At 47.2% G+C, this 24,738-nt stretch overlaps 1 protein-coding gene and 1 long non-coding RNA gene across 9 annotated transcripts, besides 3 other annotated features; one reads left to right on the top strand and one right to left on the bottom strand.

Annotated features, from left to right (window-relative positions):
- Positions 1,078 to 1,673: an enhancer, noted in NCBI's record as "NANOG-H3K27ac-H3K4me1 hESC enhancer chr17:73151095-73151690 (GRCh37/hg19 assembly coordinates)". NCBI's record gives its function as "activates a minimal SCP1, AML or CMV promoter by ChIP-STARR-seq in naive H9 embryonic stem cells {active_cell/tissue: H9 hESC(naive)}" and the evidence as "EXISTENCE:reporter gene assay evidence [ECO:0000049][PMID:30033119]".
- On the top strand, positions 2,161 to 21,430 carry JPT1 (Jupiter microtubule associated homolog 1). 8 transcript variants are annotated; one of them, NM_001002033.3, is made up of 6 exons: positions 2,161 to 2,331; positions 7,488 to 7,582; positions 8,002 to 8,144; positions 9,020 to 9,117; positions 9,989 to 10,007; positions 20,423 to 21,425. In NM_001002033.3, exons 3-6 carry the CDS (start codon positions 8,084 to 8,086, stop codon positions 20,569 to 20,571), a joined length of 327 nt encoding a protein of 108 aa, NP_001002033.1. In that variant the 5' UTR covers positions 2,161 to 2,331; positions 7,488 to 7,582; positions 8,002 to 8,083; the 3' UTR covers positions 20,572 to 21,425. The 8 variants fall into 8 exon arrangements, 7 of the variants coding, with proteins under 7 accessions (NP_001002033.1, NP_057269.1, NP_001275540.1 ...); NR_109933.2 differs by lacking the exon at positions 7,488 to 7,582 and having other exon boundaries at positions 9,020 to 9,153; NM_016185.4 differs by lacking the exon at positions 7,488 to 7,582.
- Positions 2,326 to 2,565: a silencer, noted in NCBI's record as "silent region_8957". NCBI's record gives its function as "represses an Ori minimal core promoter by ATAC-STARR-seq in GM12878 lymphoblastoid cells {active_cell/tissue: GM12878}" and the evidence as "EXISTENCE:reporter gene assay evidence [ECO:0000049][PMID:35858748]".
- Positions 7,640 to 20,423, bottom strand: LOC107985034 (uncharacterized). The gene is made up of 2 exons (XR_007065907.1): positions 15,797 to 20,423; positions 7,640 to 8,236 (listed from the first exon to the last, which is right to left on the bottom strand). It is a non-coding gene; the product is annotated as an uncharacterized LOC107985034 (long non-coding RNA).
- Positions 7,931 to 9,130: an enhancer, noted in NCBI's record as "CDK7 strongly-dependent group 2 enhancer chr17:73143638-73144837 (GRCh37/hg19 assembly coordinates)". NCBI's record gives its function as "activates an origin of replication core promoter dependent on BRD2, BRD4, P300/CBP, MED14 and CDK7 cofactors, with strong dependence on CDK7, by STARR-seq in HCT116 cells {active_cell/tissue: HCT116}" and the evidence as "EXISTENCE:reporter gene assay evidence [ECO:0000049][PMID:35650434]".

Here is a 24,738-nt window from a genome sequence, read left to right as displayed (position 1 = left end):
GCGAGACTCTATCTCAAAAAAAAAAAAAAAAAAAAAAAAAAAGAATGGGAAGATTGGCCAGGTGCGGTGGCTCATGCTGTAATCCCAGCACTTTGGTAGGCCGAGGTGGGCGGATCACGAGGTCAGGAGATCTAGACCATCCTGGCTAACACGGTGAAACCCCATCTCTACTAAAAATACAAAAATTAGCCAGGCATGGTGGTGGGCGCCTGTAGTCCCAGCTACTTGGGAGGCTGAGGCAGGAGAATGGCGTGAACCCGGGAGGCGGAGCTTGCAGTGAACCGAGATTATGCCACCGCACTCCAGCCTGGGCGACAGAGCGAGACTCTGTCTCAAAAAAACGAAAACAACAACAACAAAAAAAGAAAGAATGGGAAGATTGGCTGGGCGTGCGGTGGTTCACACCTGTAATCCCAGCACTTTGGGAAGCCAAGGTGGGTGGATCACGAGGTCAGGAGATTGAGACCATGCTGGCTAACATGGTGAAACTCCATCTCTACTAATAAACTACAAAAAATTAGCCGGGCATGATGGCACGCACCTGTAGTCCTAGCTACTCGGGAGGCTGAGGCAGGAGAATCGCTTGAACCCGGGAGGTGGAGGCTGCAAGTGAGCAGAGATCGCGCCACCACTGCACTCCAGCCTGGGCGACAGAGCAAGACTCTGTCTCAAAAAAAAAAAAAAAAAGCTAAGATTTTGGCTAGATGCGGTGGCTTACACCTGTAATCCCAGCACTTTGGGAGGCCAAGGAGCATGGATCACCTGAGGTCAGGAGTTTGAGACCAGCCTGGCCAATATGGTGAAACGCCGTCTCTACTAAAAATACAAAAATTAGTCAGGGGTGGTGGCGCACGCCTGTAGTTCCAGCTATTACGGAGGCTGAGGCAGGAGAATCGCTTGAACCTGGGAGGTGGAGGTTGCATTGAGCGCCATTGCACTCTAGCCTGGGTGACAAGAGCGAAACTCCACTTCAAAAACAAAAAAAAAAAAGAAAGGAAAAAAAGAAGGGAAGATTCTAACACAAACAAGTGGTGCGCTTCGTGCTGTTGTGGTAAGCACATAAATGCATCATCCGTGCTTTCTAGAACAGAACTTCTCACTGGCTTTTCATGAAAGCCCGGGGGGGGAGGGTGGTTAACCTAGACTGCCCAGAATACAAACTTCCAACTACCTGAAAGGTGGCTTTGCAAAGAGGAATGTGGTTCAATTATTATGGAAATATTGAGACAAGCAAAGACATCTGCCTTGAGGAAATATGCAAGACATGAGAAGGGCCTGCCCTCTTTTGCCCAAGGCTTTCCTATTATGATCTTGTAAACCATCATTCCTGAATCCTCCAAGTGTGTCTGCATTTGTCGCATGGATAGATTTACCCAGACAGGTGGAAGAGTCATGACTTAAGGGTTATAAACAGCTGCAGAGGCCTGAGCTGCTTCCATAGTCTTGGTAGCAGGGAATGAGTCCATTCCTGGTGCCAGGCATTAACCAGCCTTAGAATAGGCCCCCAAATAGGAGCGACTGTAATTTTGGTCCAGTACATGCACCACCCATTACAACTAAACAGTAACATTAAAATGTAAGGAATTTCCAGTCCTTTTAAAAGGGATCATCTTGGTGCGCTCTCTGTTGCTGACTCATTGTGCGGCTGCTTTGAGACTATTAGGTTTCTAAATGGGACACACAGTAGGTATTCAACAGATAAATGTCAACTTGTTGCAGTACTTTTCATCCTTTAAGGAGGATGCCCTTACTATCCCACCATCAGTAAAGCAAATGAGAGAACAGTAACAGTGACAAATCTCCCTTCTGCTTGCCGAGGTTGTAACTCCCCAAGAAAGAGCTTCCCCCTCTGTCAGGTAACGTTTTACAGTGACAGCCAGCACGACTTCCACCCAGCGCGAGGTAGATTCGCCTTCCGTCCAATCATCGCCGAGATTTTGGGGTGGGGGAGGGGAGAGAGTCCCAAGGCCTTCCCAGTCCAGGAAGGGGGCGGGCTTAGGCTGAGCCGTGGCCGCCACAGCCCATCGTAATGCCGCATGGTGCTTGGCACTCCAGAGAGCCAATAGGAATGAAAGAATTCATTTGAATCGGCCAATGCCGGCGGGTTAGGGGGCGGGGGTTGAAAACCCTATAAAGGCGTCGATCGGCCGGACAGGCGGCAGCGGCGGCTCCTGCAGCGGTGGTCGGCTGTTGGGTGTGGAGTTTCCCAGCGCCCCTCGGGTCCGACCCTTTGAGCGTTCTGCTCCGGCGCCAGCCTACCTCGCTCCTCGGCGCCATGACCACAACCACCACCTTCAAGGGAGTCGACCCCAACAGCAGGAATAGCTCCCGGTGAGGCGACCGGGTCGCGCCCGAGCCGCGCGGGGCTGAGGGGCTGGGAGGGCCGCTGCCGGCGGGGCCTCGCGCCGGTCGTTGCGGGTAACGAGCCCCGTGCGCTGTGCTCGCGCCGGGGCGGGTGGCGGGGTTCTGCCGTCGGCGCCGCCTTTGTGCCGCCTGGCGAGCCCTGCGCGCCGGCCCCACCCGGGTCCCTGCTGCTCTCCATTCATTCCTTCCACGGAGTCAGGGGCTGAGGAGGCCGGGGCTGGTCGCCCCTCGGAGCACGGCCGGTTTTCGTTAATCGGAACCTTCGGGGAGGGCTTCGCTTTCTCCTGTGTGCATCCCGGCTGGTGCATCCCCAGGGTGGTGGGCTTGGCCCCCCAGGTGCCCGGGGATCCTTTAGGGCCCCATGCATGGTCAGGTCCTATTGTCCCATTGATGGGCCACGCGCTCCTGTCTCTCCCCCGTGGCATGCGGTTGGTCTCGCTCTCGCGCGCAGCCATTGGATCCGGAGACCGGATCGATCAGGTCCGGCGGGCTCCTTACCCTCGCCGTGCCCCCACTCCTTATTCGGACCTACCTGACAGGTGCATGTGTGGTCGAGCGGGGCTGGTCATCGCGACCCTTCACCCCCCATTGAGGACCCAATCGTTCTTCCCCTCTTCGAAGTGCCTCCCCTCTTCCAAGTGTCTCCCCTTCCTAACAAAGGAAAGACCCCTTCTCCCCATCCCTGCGCTCATTTCTAAGGCGGGGGGCGGGGGCGGGCGCGGGGAACGAGCCAACCCGAGTGGGTTTTCTGCGCTTAAACCTTCGGACCGTGGCCTTTGCATCCTACCTTCGCTTCCTCCTTTGACGTTTGCCCAGTGAGTTCATCCCTGGCCCTGGTTCCCTTGCAGGAGGAGGTTTCTTGTTCTTGGGCGGGGCCGGAGACATCCATTGTCTCTAACGTGGTAGCGCTACCTGGGAAGCGGGGGATTTTTCTTGCCCTTCTTCCCACTGCTTTTTGGGCTTGGGGCACTGGGTACAGTGTTTGGACAGGAACCCTTTTCCAAGTCCTTGCTTAACTTACTTGGTGGAAGGGTTTGGATTCTGTGGAAGGTGTCCACATTGTCTCAGCTAATTGCACACTGTTCTTTAAGGTGGGTTACAGTTATGTCTGGGATCCTCTTCAAGGCTTGGAAGAAGCTTAAATCACTTTTTTGAGCATGTATTTTACATCGATTATGACCTGCATTCATGTGTGGCTACCCTCGGGGTCCTGGCCAAGTGGCACAAAGGGAGCCATTTTGTGGGGCTAAGAAGACACGTGAAATAGCCATATCTCACAGGGGTTAGAGAACTTGGGAACAAAAAGCACGCCTCACTCAGCAATTGAGCCTTAGGAGGAAAGCATGGGAAATGACATTCCTTTACAACTCAATACTTTCAGGTTTACAAGGTCAAAAAGACTAGGTAAGATTAAAAAAATAAATTGGTGATTACTGGGAGGATGGGGTACTTAAGTAGCACAGACCTAGGAAACTGGTCGCTCCCTTTCTGTTTTCTTTCCAATGAGATGATTTCTTCAGAGAACAGGAAGAGATTGAGCCTTGGTTTTTCATTTTGTGTTACGAGGCCAACTTTCTGCCGGTTAGACTTCAGTCGTCGGAATGATAATGTGTAATCTGGGGTTTTATTCTTTGGGGTTGAGTTGATATTAGTGTTTTGTAAAGAATTTCAGTAATTAGGTCAAATGAATCCTCACACTTAGTTTTTCATGTGTACATTTGAAATGTGAGACAAATGAGTTCTGATCCTGTGAAATGAATGTTTAATTCACCTTTCGTCATCAATTTCCCTCCAATATTATGCTCTAGGGACTGTAGTAGCATTGTCATTTTATTGTCTCTCTACCTTCCCTTTTTCTATATTCTCACCTAATTCTCATAAACTTAATTTTGTCCAGTAATGTTCTCCTGGCCCCATAAACTCGTTATAAATTTAGTCTGGTAGGGAATGATCTGCAAAGATATACAGAAACTTCAGGATTTTAAGAGAGAAGAAAGAAAAGGAGCAATTTTTTAAAAATTGCTATTTACAGTACATGGACACATTTTTGTTCAGTCTTAAATATATAATCCTGATTTAGTTGTCGTGTATGATTCTGAAAGAATAGTAGGATCCTAAAACATTGAGATACTTTCTGCCTTATGATCTACATCCTTTGTTTGGGGATATCTCACTATTACAAATGGTCTCTACAACACTGACGTCATCCGAGTTGGTTACTACCTGCTATTGCAGGAGGAACAGAGACCTTTAAAAAGTGGGACTGGTTAGAGTTTTGACTTGCTCTTAAGCTGGTGTTCGGGTACTAGTGTCTTTTTCTTGATTTTTTTTTTTTTTTTGAGACGCAGTTTTGCTCTTTTTGCCCGAGCTGGAGTGCAGTGGCACAATCTCTGCTCACCGCAACCTCTGCTTTCCAGGTTCAAGCGATTCTCCTGCCTCAGCCTCCCGACTAGCCGAGATTACAGGCATGTGCCAAAACGCCTGGCTAATTTTATATTTTTAGTAGAGACGGGTTTTCTCTATGTTGGTCCAGCTGGTCTCGAACTCCTGACCTCAGGTGATCCGCCCGCCTCGGCCTCCCAAAGTGCTGGGATTACAGGCGTGAGCCACTGCGCCCTGCCTTATTTTTTTTAATTAATTTATTTTTTTGAGACAGTCTCACTGTGTTGCCAGGCTGGAGTGCAGTGGCATGATCTCTGGCTCACTGCAACCTCTGCCTCCCGGGTTCAAGCGATTCTTCTGCCTCTGCCTCAGCCTCCTGAATAGTCGGGACTACAGGCATGTGCCACCACGCCCAGCTAATTTTTGTACATTTGTAGTACAGACAGTTTCACCATGTTGGCCAGGATGGTCTTGATCTCTTGACCTTGTGATCTGCCTGCCTTGGCTTCTCAAAGTGCTAGGATTACAGGCATGAGCCACCGCTCCTGACCTTAATTTTATTATTATTATTATTATTATCATTATTATTTTGAGACGGAGTCTCACTCTTTTGCCCAGGCTAGAGTGCAGTGGTGTGATCTTAGCTTACTGTAGGCTCCGCCTCCTACAGGGTTCAAGCGATTCTCCTACCTCAGCCTCCGGAGTAGCTGGGATTACAGGTTCACATCACCACGCCCAGATAGAAGTGCTAAATATTCTTAGAAAAATGTTTCTTGGCCGGGCGCGGTGGCTCACGCCTGTAATCCCAGCACTTTGGGAGGCCGAGGCGGGCAGATCATGAGGTCAGGAGATGGAGACCATCCTGGCTAACACGGTGAAACCCCGTCTCTACTAAAAATAAAAGAGTTAGCCGGGCGTTCCGGCGGGCGCCTGTAGTCCCAGCTTCTCGAGAGGCTAAGGCAGGAGAAAGGTGTAAACCTGGGAGGCGGAGCTTGCAGTGAGCCGAGATCGCACCATTGCAGTCCAGCCTGGGCAACAGAGCAGGATTCTGTCTCAAAAAAAAAAAAAAAAAAAAAAAAGAAAGAAAAATGTTGCTTATTCAAACTGCCTTATGAAGAAACAAAACCAGACCACTCATATCACCAGTAAAGGAATTGAATCAGTAGTTAGAAAGTCTTTCCATATTCTGCAATTACACAGGCAGTAAGAAAACAAAAAAAAGAAGTTAAAAAAAAAGTTGGCTGGGCTGGGTAGCTCATGCCTGTAATCCCAGCACTTTGGGAGGCTGAGGCAGGCGGATCACCTGAGGTCAGGAGTTCAAGACCAGCCTGACCAACATGGTGAAACCCTGTCTTTACTAAAAATACAACAATTAGGCCAGGTGCAGTGGCTCACGCCTGTAATCCCAGCACTTTGGGAGGCCAGGCGGGTGGATCACCTGAGGTCAGGAGTTCGAGACCAGCCTGGCCAACATGGCGAAACCCCGTCTCTACTGAAAATACAAAAATTAGCTGTTTGTGGTGGTGGGCACCTGTAATCCCAGCTACTCAGGGGCTGAGGCAGGAGAATCGCTTGAACCCGGGAGGCGGAGGTTGCAGTGAGCCGAGATTGCACCACTGCACTCTAGCCTGGGCGACAAGAGCGAGATTGTGCCTCAAAAAAAAAAAAGAAAAGAAAAAAAAGTATTTCTATAAAACCACCTGCATTTTCTGTTTTGAGAGGTGGCAAGAGGAGTTAAATTGAGTTTTTCCAAGGAGGAGACAAATTGGTCAACCTATGGCAGAAAGATTTGGAAATGTTAAAAAATATATTACCATGTTGAACAGAAAGCTACAGATGATATTCAAAGGAACACTGATATAGACCATGTCATGGAATCTTATACTTAATTGCTCATACTGACTTTGCCCTCATGGGTAGTTACTTATGTTTATTGTGAGAATAGTGAGGTACAAGTATGTAAATGGCTTTTTAGTGAGGTTGAGATAGAAGAGACTATTATCAGCTCTTCTTGGGCTTCTAAATTGGTCAAGCTGACTTAAGTGTGTGTGTGTGTGTGTGTGTAAGTGTGTAAGTGATTAGAGATGGGGATCTCACTATGTTGCCTAGGCTGGCCTTGAACTCCTGGGCTCAAGCAATCCTCCTGCCTCAGCTTCCAGAATGGCTGGGACTATAGGGGCCTGCTACTGATCGTGCCCAAGTTATTTATCTAGTTGAAAATAAGAAGGAAGTGATTTTTTAAAATTTATTTACTTTTTTTGGCTGGGCGTGGTGGCTCATGCCTGTAATCCTAGCACTTTGGGAGGCCGAGGTGAGTGGATCATGAGGTCAGGAGATCAAGAGCATCCTGGCTAACACGGTGAAACCCCGTCTCTACTAAAAATACAAAAAATTAGCTGGGCGTGGTGGCGGGCGCCTGTAGTCCCAGCTATCCGGGAGGCTGAGGCAGGTGAATGGCGTGAACCCGGGAGGTGGAGCTTGCAGTGAGCTGAGATCGCGCCACTGCACTCCAGCCTGGGCGACAGAGGGAGACTCCGTCTCAAAAAAAAAATTTATTTACTTTTTACATTTTGAGACAGAGTCTTGCTCTGTCACACAGGCTGGAGTTCAGCGGTGTGAACACAGCTCACTGCAGCCTTGACCTCCCGGCCGAAACGATCCTTCTGTCTCAGAGTCCAGTGTAGCTGGGACCACAGGCATGCGCCACTACGCTTGGCTAATTTTTAATTTTTTTTTTATAGAGACACGGGGTCTTGCCATGTTGCCCAGGCTGGTCTTGAACTCCTAGGCTCAAGTGATGATCCTGCCTTGGCCTCCTAGGGTGCTGGGATTACAGGTGTGTGCCACTGTGCCTGGAAATGATTTTTAAATGAATAATAACAAGAAATACTTCTAAACTTCTTTGAAAGTATATTCAGCCAAGCCCAGTAGAGTAAGGTCCATTAGATCTTTTGCCATTTCTGAAAAGGGGACACCAACCAGGCTGTTATTTATGATGAGTTCCATGCTGTTTCAGCTGCCTTGTGTGATCGATGACCTTATTACAAGTATTATAAAGCAGTATTTAGTATCTTAACATCCAGCACTGAATGTAGACACTGATGGAGTTGATTCTTTTTTCCTGTTAGCAGCTATCTGTTGTAGGGGTGAGGGAGATGAATGGGTGAGGAAAGTGAAATGAAAGTTGTCTGAAAAGATTTATGCCAAGAAATGTTTCAGTATGATCTGAAGTTGATGTTTTGCCATTATTTGCAGAGTTTTGCGGCCTCCAGGTGGTGGATCCAATTTTTCATTAGGTTTTGATGAACCAACAGAACAACCTGTGAGGAAGAACAAAATGGCCTCTAATATCTTTGGGACACCTGAAGAAAATCAAGCTTCTTGGGCCAAGTCAGCAGGTACTCTTGTTATCTGTGCTCACTGTTCAAAGGGATGGGCCCAGCATCAACAGCCACAGATGCAGCTTGGGCACCAGCATGTGCCCCCGTGTCTAAAAAACAAAACAAAACAAAAATTAGCTGGTGGTAGTGGCAGTGTGCATTTAGTCCCTGATACTCCGGAGGCCGAGGTGGGAGGATTGCTGAGCCTGGGAGGTGGAGGCTGCAGTGAGCTGTGATTGAGCCACTGCCCTCCAGCCTAGGTGACAGAGTGAAACCCTGTGTCAAAAACAAACAAAAGAAAAACCAACTACAGCTGGTTTTGAACTAATAACAAAATCTAGCTTACAACAGTTTAGACTTAGCCTGAGAGGAAAGAAATGGGAAATACTGAGAGGCTGTGTGATGGATCAGAGTAAGGACTGAAGTCAGACTGGGTTAATGTTTAAGTGATCAGCTTAACTTCCTTAAGACTGTTTCCTCATTTCATAATGTGAGACTAACACATAACGTCAATTGCTGAAGTTTTTTGTTTTTGTTTTTGAGATAAGAGTCTCATTCTGTTGCCCAGGCTGGAGTACAGAGTGCAGTGGTGCCATCTTGGCACACCACAACCTCCACCTCCCGAGTTCAAGTGATTCTTCTGCCTCAGCCTCCCGAGTAGCTAGGATTACAAGCATGCACCATGACGTCCAGCCAATTTTTATATTTTTAGTAGAGACAGGGTTTTACCATGTTGGCCAGGCTGGTCTTGAACTCCTGACCTCAGGTGATCTGCCCGCCTCGGCCTCCTAAAGCACTGAGATTACAGGCATGAGCCACCGTGCCCAGCCTGAAGTGTTTTGCTTTAGGTTTTTTCTATTGTATTTCTGAAGAAAGTATATTTTGATTTTTAGGTGCCAAGTCTAGTGGTGGCAGGGAAGACTTGGAGTCATCTGGACTGCAGAGAAGGAACTCCTCTGAAGCAAGCTCCGGAGACTTCTTAGATCTGAAGGTCAGTGTGACAGCATGAGGCCAGAAAGGCTTTCAGGTCAATATGATTCTGAAATTTGTACTAAGAGTTTCAGTTCACCCACTGGAATTTTACATTGAGGTAGTTAGGAAAGGGACTGGGCCATATTGATAATGGAAGATTGATAGTAAAATCATAGAAGTGTGTTAACATGGTCTCAGTCTGTTTCTGTATCTCTTTTACCATTAGGATTTGTTTTATCTCCCCTATTGATTTTTGGAACTTGTGGATCTTTCTCACTTCCTGTGTGTCTCATATATAGAAGCATTTCTGAGTTCAGAACTGCTTTGCGTTGAACTCCAGGAGACTAGTGCTGGCATTACCATTGGTTGTGTCTGCAGTTGAATACTGCCACCAAGCCCCCCAGGGGGTGTGCTGCGAAGTGGAAAGACCCCGCCCGACTAAGCACTAAAGCCCTCAGAGCACAGTGAGGCATCACCTGTCTGAGTGGGGAGAGAACTGGAGAAGGGCTTTGGAACTGATAGGGGTCCTTCCATAACTATTATCTAGTTTCCCCTTATCGGGGAAAGGAGAGAGAAATGAAAGGAGAGATTTACCAGTTTTCCATTCTAATAAAAGATCTCTGAAGTGCTAATTGGTGTTAGGTCCTCAGAGGAAATGTTGGGGTTTGTTGTAGACGTGGTACTAGCACTAGAGCAATTTATCATGCAGAATTTTTGCATAGCATTGTCCTGAGTTGGATAGAGGTAGCAGACTGACCCTGTGCTTGATTGCAACACAATGAAATGTCACATTCGGTTTCAAGTAGATGTTAGCTGCTATGAACTATGACTGTTTTGCGTGTTCCAAAATTAAAATAGGAAGTAAATTTTTGAATTTTTTTCTTTTCTAGGGAGAAGGTGATATTCATGGTAAGTACTTCTGAAGACCAAATTTCTGGCTCTGTCCATGGTTTTAGGACAGATCTGAATCTTGATTTAAATCATGTCTTGGGGAAAGAGACTGGGGAGTGAAACCTGGCCATGCCCCAAGTGCCGCCATACTCTAATCTGCCAGTAACGCGATCAATGCTAGAAACATAATAGAAGGGAAAAAACAGAGAATCCTTTAAAATTACATATATTGGCTGGGCATGGTGGCTCACGCCTGTAATCTCAACACTTTGGGAGGCTGAGGCAGGCAGATTGCTTGAGCCCAGGAGTTCAAGACCAGCCTGGAAACATGGTGAAACCCTGTCTCTATAAAAAAGTACAAAAATTAGCCTAGCATGGCGGCACATGCCTGTAGTCCAGCTACTCGGGAGGCTCAGGTGGGAGGATTGCTTGAGCTCAGGACGTGGAGGTTGCAGTGAGCAGAGATCACACCGTTATACTCCAGTCTGGGTGACAGAGTGAGACCTTGCCTGAAAAAAATAAACTAAACCAAAATATATCTAAACACACACACATACATATTAATCAGGTCAGTATTTGTTACACTTAATGAGAGCTTTTTTTTTTGAGACCAGGTGTCTCTCTGTTGCCAAGGCTGGAGTGCAGTAGGCAATCACAGCTTACTGTGGCCTCAACCTCCTTGGGCTTAGGTGATCCTCCCACCTCAGCCTCCCTAGTAACTGGGACTACAGGGGTACAACACCACACCTCGCTAATTTGTTTTTATTTTTAGTAGAGATGAGGTCTCACTATGTTGCCCAGGCTGGTCTCGAACCCCTGAGCTTAAGTGATCCTCCCACCTCAGCCTCCCCAAGTGCTGCTATTACTGGCAAGAGCCCCAGCACCCAGCTGAGAGCTTTTTGTATTTATGTAGCTATTTATCACAGACTAGCCAAGTGCAGTATTGAGAAGAGGGGAAAGAGTAAAACAAGGAGGTTGATCTGTAACTATGAACAAGATAACTCACTACCAGCCAGAGAGAGCTTTTTAATATAACCATTTCAAGCTCAGCTCACAGCATCCACTTTACAAAGTTCATTTGTTTTTATAGGGAGATGCTTATTCAGCAAGACATTGGTTACCTGCTTGGTGATTTTGTAAATGATGATTTAGGGGGCAGATGTAAATTTTCAGCTAACCAACCATATTACGAATTATAGGTGGAAATGAGCTGTAATCATTGACTTAATTATCTTAAATCTTGGAGGTATTTATTGGCATTTCTGTAACAAGTGCTAAAGACTTGCCGATGAGTGCAAGGTTTGTAAGTGTCAGGCAGTAGCAGTCAGTGAAGTGCAGCAGTCACAAGGCCCTCTGGTCTAGACAGAAGCAGCAGCTTCCTCTTAAGGCCTTTTCCTACCCTTATGTTTTGTGGTGTGCTTACAAGGACACACGGAAAGGTTGAAGAAGCAGATTCCTCTCCTGCCTTCTCACACAGTGTTCTGTTTTTTTGGTTGTGTTTTTTTTTTTTTTTTTTTTTTGAGATGGAGTCTGGCTCTGTCATCCAGGCTGGAGTGCAGTGGCAGGATCTCAGCTCACTTCAACCTCTGCCTCCCGGGTTCAAGCACTTCTCCTGGCTCAGCCTCCTGAATAGCTGGGATTACAGGCACGCGGCACCATGCCCGGCATGAGCCACTGCGCCCGGCCTCACAGTGTTTCTTGGTGGGCTTAGAGGAGAAGCTCCTGAGCCTTTGGGAGCATTGCCTGGGTTCTTCCTTATAGGACCTGTTTAGGGGGAAAACACTCAAACGTGTTTTTCCTCTTTTTTTCACACCACAACAATCATCAACACAGAAGACGACACCTGTGACCAAATATGGGGGGTTTCTCCCCACACGCCAATCAGTGGACACCAGTTGGGAGTCCTCCAATCCAGTTTCCACACCCTCTGCCTGAAGATAACCTCAGATTCAGCAGGTTGAGGGTCAGTCCCACAAGACTGCCCCTTCCTTCCCACCAGTTGTAAGTCTGGGCCTCTGGAACTTCTGACCGACTGGCTTCAAATTGGGGTTCCTGTGACCCCTTCTATGGTTTTGATTAATTTGCTAGAGAGGTTCACAGAAAGAACTCAGGGAAACACTTATGTTTACAGGTTCATTATGAATATATGATACATTTTTTTTTATTTTTTTCTAAACTGAATCTTGCTCTGTTGTCCAGACTGGAGTGCAGTGTCACCCTCACAGCTCACTGCAACTTCAAACTCCTGAGCTGAAGCAATCCTCCTGCCTCAGCCTCCTGAGTAGCTGGGATACAGGTGTATGCCACCATGCCTGGCTAATTTTTTTTCTTTTTTTGTAGAGATGTGGTCTCACTATGTTATGTTACACAGGCCAGTCATGTGATCCTCCCACCTCAGCCTCCAAAAGTATTGAGATTACAGGCATGAGCCACTGTACCTGGGTTGTTACGAAGGATATTTGAAAGGATACAAATAAACAGCCCAGTGAGGAGATACTTGGGGCCTGGTATGGAAAGGTCCCAAGTACAGGAGCTCCTGTACCTTGGAGTTGGGGTGTGCCACCCTCCTGGCACATGGATGAGTTGTTGCACCTTCCTGTCAGCTTCCACATGTTCAGTTATCCAGAAGTCCTCAGAATCCATCCTTCTGGGTGTTTTTTTAAGACTGGGTTTTGGTCTTAACCAGGCTAGAGTGCAGTGGCACAATCTCATTGCTCACTATAGCCTCAACCTCCTGGACTCAAGCAGTCTTCCTACCTTTGCCTCCCAAAGTGAGCCACTGTGCCCAGCCCCTTTTGGGTTTTTCTTTTTTTTCTCGAGATGGAGATTCGCTCTTTTTTTTTTCTGAGATGGAGTCTCACTCTCTGTCACCCAGGCTGGAGTGCAGTGGTGCCATCTCAGCTCACTGCATCCTCTGCCTCCCAGGTTCAAGCGATTCTCCTTCCTCAGCCTCCTGAGTAGCTGAGATTACAGGCATGCACCACCATGCCCAGGTAATTTTTTAATTTTTAGTGGAGACAGGGTTTCGCCATGTTGGCCAGGCTGGTCTTGATCTCCTGACCTCAGGTGATCCACCCTCCTCAGCCTCCCAAAGTGCTAAGATTATGGGTGTAAGCCACCATGCCTGGCCAAGTTTCACACTTTTTGCCCAGGCTGGAGTGCAATGGCATGATCTTGGCTCACTGCAACCTCTGCCTCCTGGGTTCAAGCAATTCTCCTGCCTCAGCCTCCTGAGTAGCTGAGATTACAGGTGCACGCTACTATACCTGGCTAATTTTGTATTTTTAGTAGAGACGAGGTTTCACCATGTTGGCCGGGCTGATACTGAACTCCTGACCTCCAGTAATCCACCTGCTTTGGCTTTCCAAAGTGCTGGGATTACAGGCATGAGCCGCTACACCTGGCCCCTTTTGGTTTTTTATGGAGGCTTCATTACATAAGCATGATTGACAACTGTACAGAAATACGATTAGACAAAAAAGGTTTGATTTCATACCAATGGACTGAACAAGGGAACTCAGAAGGCCCGTCTGTTAGATTCTTCTTGGCCTCTCCATGTAGCATTCCCTCCTCCAGGGTATGGAGCAGGACCCTCTGGATTAAGGGTCTTTTGACCTGCCATCAGATTACAGTCCTGCCCTGGGCAGGTAAAAGGAGGACAGGAGGTCACAAAGAGATTCTGTTTCCTGAGGGCTGCTCCTGAGGCTTAATGCACCCCATTCAAAAGACTTTTAAGGGCTATGGGAGTTACCAGCCAGTAGCTGTGGACAAAAACAGATTTTGTGTGTGTGTGTGTGTATTTTCATATACGTATGTATATCATAATATCACAGGACCAGTTACTTTTGCATTGGACCGAAGATGTATGTATTAATTACTGTTTGTGTTCTATTTGTACTGTTCTGGAAAGACTTCTGGAGGTAAAATCTAGGTTTTTTGATTCCACTTCTTGCTTCCTTCCTTCTTCCCTCCTCTCCCTTCCCCTCCCCTCCCTTCTCATCCCTTCCCGTTCCCTTCCTCCCCCTTCCCTCCATCCCCCCCTCCCCTCCCTCCCCTCCCTCCCCTCCTCTCTCCCCCTTCCCCTCCCTCCCTCCCTCTCCCTCCCTCTCCCCTCCCCTCCCCCCTTGACGGAGTTTAGCTCTTGTTGTCCAGGCTGGAGTGTAGTGGCACGATCACGGCTCACTGCAACTCCACCTACCGGTTTCAAGTGATTCTCCTGCCTCAGCCTCCCTGCGTAGCTGGGATTACAAGGGCTGCCACCACGCCCGGCTAATTTTTTTTTTATTAGTAGAGACAGAGTTTCAACATGTTGGCCAGACTGGTCTTGAACTCCTGACCTCAGGTGATCCACCTGCCTTGGCCTCCCAAAATGCTAGGATTACAGGCGTGAGCCACCAGGCCCGGCCGGTTCTACTGCTTTCTATATTCTGAATACTTTCACTGTCAGACCTTATTTAACAAGAATCAGCTAATCTTTATTCAATTATTTTGGTCAGTTAATACAACTAGAAGTTAGGGGAACTTGGAGAAGTATGTCAACAATGTGTCAATAGTCCTACCACATAATTAATAATTCTGTTCCCTTTTCAGTCCCCTTCACAGTTTTTGTTTTTTCGAGACAGAGCCTTGCTCTGTCACCCAGGCTGGAGTGCAGTGGTATGATCTCAGCTCAAGGCAACCTCCGCCTCCCAGGTTCAAGCGATTCTCCCGCCTTAGCCTCCTGAGTATCTGGGACTACAGGTGTGCGCCACTACAGCTGGCTATTTTTTTTACTTTTAGTAGAGACGGAGTTTCACCATATTCACCAGGCTGGTCTCGAACTCCTGACCTCAAGCGATCTACCCACCTTGGCCTCCCAAAGCGCTGGGAGGCATGAGCCACTGCGCCCAGCCTCGCTCAACTAATTTTTTTTATTTTTAGCAGACACGGAGTTTTCGCCATGTTGGCCAGGCTGGTCGCAAACTCCTAAGTCCTTTCTTTTTCCCCCCAGTGGTTATCTGGTTACCTGTTGTTGTTTTTTCCTTTTTGTTTTTTTTGAGAGTCTCACTCTGTCGCCAGGCTGGAGTGCAGTGGCATAATCTCGGCTCACTGCAACCTCCGCCTCCCGGGTTCAAGTGATTCTCCTGCCTCAGCCTCCCGAGTAGCTGGGACTACAGGCATGCACCACCATGCCTAGCTAATTTTTGTATTTTTAGTAGAGACAGTATTTCACCATGTTGGCCAGGCTGGTCTCAAACTCCTGACCTCAGGTGATCCCCCTGCCTTGGCCTCCCAAAGTGCTGGGATTACAGGTGTAAGCTATTGTGCCCGGCCTTTTTAAGTTTCTGATCTGATATATTCTGTGTGGCTGACTGCTGCAACTTTAGTTCATCTGTCTTAAAATGAAAAGGGGCACAATAATATTTTTTTCTTTACTGAGACAGGTTCTCACTGTTGCCTGAACCACGAGTGCAGTGGCACAATCACCACTCACTGCAGCCTTGACTTCCGGGTTCAAGCCATCCTCTCACCTCAGCTTCCTGAGTAGTTGGGACTACAGTTGCATGCCACCATGCCTGGCTAATTTTTGTGGTTTTGTTTTTGTTTTGTTTTTGAGATGGAGTCTTGCTCTGTTGCCCAGGCTAGAAATGCAGTGGCATGATCTTGGCTCACTGCAGCCTCCACCTCTTTGATTCAAGCAATTCTCCTGCCTCAGCCTCCCGAGTAGCTGGGATTACAGGTGCCCGCCACTGTGTCCAGCTAATTTTTGTGTTTTCAGTAGAGACAGGATTTCACCATCTTGCCCAGGCCGGTCTCGAACTCCTTACCTCGTGATCCACCTGCCTTGGCCTCCCAAAGTGTCGGGATTACAGGCGTGAGCCACCGTGCTTGGCCAATTTTTGTAGTTTCTGTAGAGACAGGGTTTTGCTATGTTTCCCCCGGCTGGTCCTGGGTTCATGTTGATCTTCCTGCCTTGGCCTCCCAAAATTCTGGGATTACAGGTGTGAGCCGCTGTGCCTGGCTGAGGTACAGTAATAAGATACATCTGGAGGATTAAAGGTCAACCCCAATTCAGTTTAAATAAGATAGATTCCCTTTGGATATACGGGAAATTTATTTTACCTCTTGGGCAATTAAACGCAGGAATGGCTACAGGAATGACTTTGGAGTTTCCATCTTGAGAAATCTAAGAGGGAGAAGGTCCAGGAAGTTCAGGCAGAGAAGTCTCCCTGACTGCGGGCAAGTTAGATGGTCGGCTACATTTCTTCCAGTTCTGATTCTTTGATGCTTACAATGAATCATTTTCTATTCAGATAGAGATGTCTTTGTTCAGTTATCTTATTGATGTGCCAAAGAAAAGAGACCAGGAGTGTCTAAAATGTATATTTTGGTAGAAATAATTTCATTTAAAGCCCTTTTTTTTTTTAAATTATCTTCAGCAGACAAAAGCTTTCTGTGTCAAATTGGCATAAAAGTTTCTAAACATTTGGCTGGGCGCGGTGGCTCATGCCTGTAATCCCAGCCCTTCGGGAGGCTGAGGTGTGCGGATCATGAGGTCAAGAGATCAAGACCATCCTGGCCAACATGGTGAAAGCCCGTCTCTACTAAAAATACAAAAATTAGCCAGGCGTGGTGGCACGCGCCTGTAATCCCAGCTACTTGGGAGGCTGAGGCAGGAGAATCGCTTGAACCTGGGAGGTGGAGATAGATTGCGCCACTGCACTCCAGCCTGGCAAGAGAGAGAGACTCCATCTGAAAAAATAAATCAAAGTTTCTGAACACTTACTCTCAATTCCTGTACTTATCTCATTATGGGCTGGAAACAAACAAACCTCCCTCCTCTGTGGGTGGAGTACTTCTGACTGGACAGACATTTATTTATTTTTGAGACGGAGTCTTACTCTGTCGCCCAGGCTGGAGTGCTGTGGCACGATCTTGGCTCACTTCAAACTCCGCCTCCCGGGTTCAAGTGATTCTCTTGCCTCAGCCTCCCGAGTATCTGTGAATACAGGCGCGCACACACGCCCAGCTAATTTTTGTACTTTTGTAGACACGGGGTTTCACCATGTTGGCCAAGCTGGTCTCAAACTCCTGACCTCAGGTTATTCAGCTGCCTTGGCCTCCCAAAGTGCTGGGATTACAGGTGTGAGCCACTGCACCTGGCCTGGACAGACATTTAAAGTAAGGCCTACTGCTGCTTGTTTAGTCTCCATAGGTGCTTTTTTATTTTTTTCTTCTTCTTTATTAGTATGTTATGTATTTGTGAAAAACAAAACAGTTCTAGTAATAATGTAAGACAAATATAAGATTAGTAGTATTGAGCTTGATTCATCTGAAGAGGATTTTATGAAAATAAACCACTATGGCAGGACTGCAAGATAATTTTTTGTTCTTCAGAATGTTCATTAACTGCTGGATTCAGAGAGAGAATGAAGACTTCAGTAGATCCTGTATGTATAGCAGGAGGCCATGTCCCACCAGCAGAAATGAAACTGCTTGAACTAACAAGTTGTCTCAGTCCGAATTCTCTTTATCTTGAATATTTTAAATGTGGAGTTTTGTTTTTCTTTTATATTTACAATTATATTTAGGTTATTTCAGGGACACTTATTGTAGGACTTGTGTGTCTGATCCAGTGCATTTGATCTTGCTTCTTTTACAATGGATGTAACCAAGGAAACTAATGGGTGACCCTCTCTGAGTTTTAGTTCATAATTGTGACAGTTGTCATTCTGAAAAGCTTCATACTCTATTTTTGCTTGTAGTTAAATAGTATAGAACATTTTATGTTACTCCCATAGAATGTTCCAGAAATTCATGAAATGTTAAAAGCAGCAGTAGTATGTTAACATTAACAAAGCATGAAAAATAAATAAATAAAATAAATGTCTGTCCAATGAGAAATACTGCAGCCACAGAAGAGGGAGGTTTGTTTGCTTCTAGCCTATCATGAGATAAGTACATGAATTGAGAGTAAGTGTTAAAGACCTCTTCTTGGCCGGGCATGGTGGCTCACGCCTGTAATCTGAGTACTTTGGGCAGCTGAGGTGGGTGGATCACTTGCGGTCAGGAGGTTGAGACAAGCCTGGCCAACATGGTGAAACCTGGTCTCTACAAAAATACAAAAAATTAGCTGGGCATGGTGGCGGGCGCCTATAACCCCAGCTATTGGGAGGCTGAGGCAGGAGAATCGCTTGAGCCTGGGAGGCGGAGGTTGTGGTGGGCCAGGATCACGCTACTTTACTCCAGTCTGGGCGATGGAATGAGACACAGTCTCAAAAAAAAAAAAAAAATCCATTAATATAGGAGCATTATTAACTGCCCTTACTGCCTTTTCAGGCAAAAGGGATTCTATGAAATATTTTTACGAATATCTTAGAATATGCAACTGAATTTGATTGGTTAACACTGAAATAAACTTGCTATTAAAAAGAAAACTAAGGCCCAGTATGGAGGCTCACGCCTGTAATCCCAGCACCTTGGGAGGCCAAGGCAGGTTGGATCACCTGAGGTCAGGAGTTTAAGACCAGCCAGGCCAACATGGTGAAACCCTGTCTCTACTAAAAATACAAAAAATTAGTCGGGCGTTGTAGCGGGCACCTATAATCCCAGCTACTTACTTGGGATGCTGAGGCAGGAGAATTGCTTGAACCCGGGAGGCACAGGTTGCAGTGAGCCGAAATTGCACTGTTGCACTCTAGCCTGGACAACATGTGTGAAACTCCATCTCAACTAAAGAAAAAAAAGGAAAACTAGGCCGGGTGCAGTGGCTTAATGCCTGTAATCCCAGCACTTTGGGAGGCCAAGGTAGGTGGCTCACTTGAGGCCAGGAGTTTGAGACCAGCCTGGCCAACATGGCGAAACCCCGTCTCTACTAAAAATACAAAAATTAATCAGGCATGGTGGTGCATGCCTGTAATTCCAGCTACTCGGGAGGCTGAGGCAGGAGAATTGCTTGAACCCAGGAGGCAGAGGTTAAAGACCCTGTCTCAAAAAAAAAAAAAAAAAAAAAAAAAAAGGAAAACTAGGCTGTGTGAAGGGTGAAGGTGGCTCATGCCTGTGATCCCAGCACTTAGGGAGGGTGAGATGGGAGGATCACTTGAGTCCAGGAATTTGAGACCAGCCTGGGTAACATAAGGAGACCCCATCTTTTAAAAATAAAAAAAAAAAAAAAACAAAAATAGCCAGTTGTGGTGGTGCGCGCCTGTAGTCCCAGCTATTTGGGAGACTGATATAGGAGGATTGCTTGAGCCCAGGAGTTTGAGGCTACAGTGGGCTGTGATTGAGGTACTGCACTCCAGCCTGGGCCACAGAGTGAGACCCTGTCTCAATATCCTCCACCTGCCACCCCACCCCTCCACAAAAAACAAACAAACAAAAAAACTAAAAATATGTATACTATTAAGCTCTTAGTAAAAGTTTCCTTTCATAGAAAATATAGAATTTTTGCATTCACTTTGCACTTTGAATCAGTTTTTTCCCGGTTTAGAAACAACCCTAATGAGAGACAATTCATTTGGAAAATTGGATGGGTTCCAGTTTTTTTGCTGTCAGAGAATTGGATAAATAGCCTATATCATGTGATAATTACTATAAAGCAATGAAGCTTGACAGTGAGGTGAGGGATTTGAAAACATACAGTTAATAAGCAAGGCGAATTACTACCCTGTTTGTAAATATGGATACATTTCCAAGAGTGAAAAAAAGAAGTTGATACCATTTATGTTAAATATAACCAAAACATGTTACATGTTATCTGGCTACATGTAAATATACATAAAACAAGTGGACTAGAAGGCTGCACAGGACTTGCAGTGGGACCTCTGGGAATAGGGGGAGCAGGATCCACCCGGAGCTGGAAGGGGCCGTAGAGCTAGAGTTCCCTGTTCTTATTTAAAAATCTTCATGTCCTTGGGCCAGGCGCGGTGGCTCACGCCTGTAATCCCAGCACTTTGGGAGGCCGAGGCAGGTGGATCACAAGGTCATGAATTCAAGACCAGCTTGGCCAGGATGGTGAAACCCCATCTGTACTAAAAATACAAGAATTAGCCGGGCATGGCGGCAGGCGCCTGTAATCCCAGCTACTAGAGAGGCTGAGGCAGGAGAATTGCTTGAACCTGGGAAGTGGAGGTTGCAGTGAGCCAAGACTGCACCATTGCACTCCAGCCTGGGCAACAGCGAGACTCCGTCAAAAAACAAAACAAAACAAAAAAAAACTTCATGTCCTTATATATTTGTGTAATTTAGAAAAGAACATAAACAACAAATATGGGAAAAGATGAACAATGGTTAATTCTGTGGAGTGGGAGCATGGTGGGTGATTATTTTGTTTATGCTTTTAGGTATGTTTCCAACCATCAAACCAAAAAAAAAAGAAAAAGAGAAACAGATCCTTGATCTTAACAGGAAATGGCTGTCATTATGAGTATTATTTCTATTCCCTGTTTTCATAGAAAATGTGGACACAGACTTGCCAGGCAGCCTGGGGCAGAGTGAAGAGAAGCCCGTGCCTGCTGCGCCTGTGCCCAGCCCGGTGGCCCCGGCCCCAGTGCCATCCAGAAGAAATCCCCCTGGCGGCAAGTCCAGCCTCGTCTTGGGTTAGCTCTGACTGTCCTGAACGCTGTCGTTCTGTCTGTTTCCTCCATGCTTGTGAACTGCACAACTTGAGCCTGACTGTACATCTCTTGGATTTGTTTCATTAAAAAGAAGCACTTTATGTACTGCTGTCTTTTTTTTTTTTCTTTTGAAGAACAGGTTTCTCTCTGTCCTTGACTCTTGGGTCTGTGGGCCATGGCATGAGTGTTTTCTAGTAGTAGATTGGAGGGAAAGCTTTGTGACACTTAGTACTGTGTTTTTAAGAAGAAATAATTTGGTTCCAGATGTGTTAGAGGATCTTTTGTACTGAGGTTTTTAACACTTTACTTGGGTTTACCAAGCCTCAACTGGACAGACCATAAACAGTCCACAGGCACCGTTCCTGCCAGGCCCCAACCCACAGGGAGTCTCTCCGCAGAGCCTTCTTGGTGTTGCCCTAACTTGCCAGTGGCCTTTGCTCAGAGCCTCCTCCTGTGACATGTGAACAATGAAGAGGCCTGCGCCTCCTGCCTTGCCGCCTGCAAAGCAAAGAAACTGCCTTTTATTTTTTAACCTTAAAAAGTAGCCAGATAGTAACAAGACTGGCTGGCTGATGAGCAAAGCCTTTGCTCTCACGCAGAGGAAGGCTTGGATGTACAATGAAACTGCCTGGAACTAAAAGCAGTGAAGCAAGGGAGGCAATCACACTGAAGCGGGTCTTCCTCCAGGAACGGGGTCCCACAGGCGTGTTGTTTTAAATAACCTGATGCTGTGTGCATGATGCTGGTGCTTGACCATGAAAGGAAAGTCTCATCCTTAAAATGTGTTGTACTTCACAATCCTGGACTGTTGCTTCAAGTAAACAATATCCACATTTTGAAACACTGTGTACTGTGTCTTCTTTTTGAGATGGTTTCAGTGTTCTCCCTGGTTAGATGCTTTTCTCTTTGTCACTATAAATCCTGCCTACTGATTGGAGGAGTCATTTGAAGTTAAATAGCCAGATGTGCCTGTAATTAGCTACTTGGGAAGCCAAGGCAAGAGGATGCTTGAGCCCAGGAGTTTGAGACTATCCTGGGCAACATAGCGAGACCTCCTTAAAAAACAAAATCTTAAAACAGATGAAGACCCAGAGAGGAGTGGGTTTCTTTCTGAAGAAGGCTCTAAAGATGAGCAGGTTAGACTCTTCTACCTCCCCTTTGTTCTGGGCAGTAACATTTTAAAGTGTTCTCCAAGACTGGGCAACATGGTGAAACCTCGTCTCTACCAAAAATAGCCAGGTGTGATGGCACACGCCTGTAGTCGGGAGGCTGAGGCAGGAGGATTGCTTCACCCTGTGAGATCAAGGCTGCAGTGAGCCATGATCGCACCACTGTACTCCAGCCTGGGTGACAGCAAGACCCTGTCTCAAAAAAAGTTCTCCAACTTTAAATATGCGGGGATTTCTCCCCACCAGCAAGCAAGCAAGCAAGCAATTCTGCAGTGGATACCAGCTAGGTGTCCTCCAATTTTTTTTTTTTTTTAAGACAGTGTCTCAGTCTGTCGCCCAGGCTGAAGTGCAGTGGCACAATCTGCTCACTGCAACCTCTGCCTTCTGGGTTCCAGCGATTCTCCTGCCTCACCCTCCCGAGTAGCTGGGACTACAGGCATGTGCCACCACACCCAGCTAATTTTTGTATTTTTAGTAGAGACAGGGTTTATGCCATGTTGCCCAGGCTGGTGTCGAACTCCTGACCTCAAGTAATCTGCCCACCTCGACTTCCCAAAGTGCTGGGATTATAGGCATGAGCCACCTCACCTGGCCCTCCAATTCAATTCTGACAATCAGTTACCTGGAGATAGCTTTGATTCCACAAGTTGAGGGCTCAGCCCCCAAGACTGCTTCCCCTTGAGATAACTCGCAAGTCTGGGCCTCCAAAATGTCTGCGTATCTATGAGTCATATGCATGTTGACTTGAGCCCCTCTTAGACTGGTTTGTCAGGCTTTTTTTTTTTCTGAGATGGAGTCTGGCTCTGTCACCCAGGCTGGACTGCAGTGGCATGATCTTGGCTCACTGCAACGTCTGTCTCCCGGGTTCAAGCAATTCTCCTGCCTTGGCCTCCTGAGTAGCTGGGATTTGTAGGCATGTCCCACCATGCCCGGCTAGTTTTTGTATTTTTAGTAGAGATGGGGTTTCACCATGTTGGTCAGGCTGGTCTCGAACTCCTGACTTTGTGATCCACCTGCCTCGGCCTCCCAAAATGCTGGGATTACAGGCGTGAGCCACTGCACCCGGCCCTGTCAGGTTTTTTTGTGTGTGTGATGCTTCTATTACATGTTTTGTTTGTTTGTTTGTTTGAGACGGAGTCTCGCTGTGGCCCAGGCTGGAGTGCAGTGGCGTGGTCTTGGCTCACTGTAATCTCTGCCTCCCGGGTTCATGCCATTCTCCTACCTCAGCCTCCTGAGTAGCTGGGACTACAGTCACCCGCCACCATGCCCAGCTAATTTTTTTTTTTTTTTTGTATTTTTAGTAGAGACAGGGTTTCACCGTGTTAGCCAGGATGGTCCTGATCTCCTGACCTCATGATCCGCCCGCCTCAGCCTCCCAAAGTGCTGGGATTACAGGCGTGAGCTACCGTGCCCAGCCTCTGTTACATATATTTGGAAGCAGTGGGTTCATCAGATGGGGAACAATGGCGAGATGGGCCACTTAAATCTGTGTTTATAATTTTGGCTCTCCCCTCCCCCAACAGGGACTCCCTCTGTCACCCAGGCTGGAGTGCAGTGGCAGGATGAAGGCTGTGTAGCCTCAATTTCCTGGGCTCAAGGGTTCCTCCCACCTAAGGCTCATGAGTAGCTAGGACCACAGGCATGCGCCACCATACCCAGCTTATTGATTTGTTTATTGTAGAGACAGGGTCTCCCTGTGTTGCTCAGGCTGGTCTTGAACTCCTGGGCTCAAGCTGTCTCCCACCTGGGCCTCCCAAAGTGCTGGGATTACCAGCCTGAGCCACGGCGCCTGGCTTTATAGTTTGTAGGCAAATAGATTTGAGTGGAGTCAGGAAGTTTCATGACATCCACAAAAAGAAGAGTCAACAAAATGTATCACAGTTCAGCATGTTCTTTTTTTTTTTTTTTTTTTTTGAGAAGGAGTTTTGTTCTTGCTGCCCAGGCTGGAGGGCAATGGCATGATCTCGGCTCACCGCAACCTCTGCCTCCTGGATTCAAGAGATTCTCCTGCCTCAGCCTCCCGGGTAGCTGGGATTACAAGCATGTGCCACCACGCTAATTTTGTATTTTTAGTAGCGACAGGATTTCTCCATGTTGGTCAGGCTGGTCTTGAACTCCCGACCTCAGATGATCCGCCCGCCACGGCCTCCCAAAGTGCTGGGATTATAGGCGTGAGCCACCGCACCTGGCCCTGTTCAGCATTTTCTAGACGGGAGTAGGTAAGCGATGTCAGTTCCACATAAAGTCCTGAGGACAGTCCTGATTACCTGTGCTTGATCAAAATCATCTTTCCGGGGGAAACCACACTTGAAGCTCCCATGTTTCAAGCCAACTCTAGTGTGAATTAGTCTCTTAACGAGCTAGACTTACACAAACCAGTTAACAGATTCATTTCACTTTGTAGTCCTCGAGGGATTGTTCCTGCTCCACTGCACAGACGAAAGCAATCCACTGAGACCACGGTACTGCGGTAATAAGACTTTGGCCAGGTGCGGTGGCTCAAGCCTATAATCCCAACACTTTGGGAGGCCAAGGCAGGCAGATCACTTGAGGTCAGGAGTTTGAAACCAGCCTGACCAACATGGCGAAACCCCGTCTCTACTAAAACTACAAAAATTAGCCAGGCGTGGTGGCGGGTGCCTGTAATCCCAGCTACTCGGGAGGCTGAAGCAAGAGAATCGGTTGAACCCGGGAAGCGGAGGCTGCAGTGAGCCGAGATCGCGCCGCCACTGCGCCGCAGCCTGGGCGACAGAGCCAGACTCCGTCTCAAAATAAAAAAAAAAAAAAAGAAAAAAAGAAAAAAAATGTGGAGCTAGCCCCACGGGTTTAGGACCCTTGACTCCTCGTTAGATGCTTCCCAGTATTTCAGAGCATCCCTTTGTTGGGCCCCCGGAAGGTCGGTCCCCTACTAGTAACGTGGGGTGAACGGGGGTACGTCTGCCGTAAAGTGGGAGGCGGCTGATGGGGACAAAGGCTGGGTCCCGA

Source organism: Homo sapiens, chromosome 17 (genome assembly GCF_000001405.40).
Source record: "Homo sapiens chromosome 17, GRCh38.p14 Primary Assembly".
NCBI lineage: Eukaryota > Metazoa > Chordata > Mammalia > Primates > Hominidae > Homo > Homo sapiens.
The sequence above is the reverse complement of the archived record's forward strand: the minus strand, read 5'-3'. Positions and strand labels throughout refer to the sequence as shown.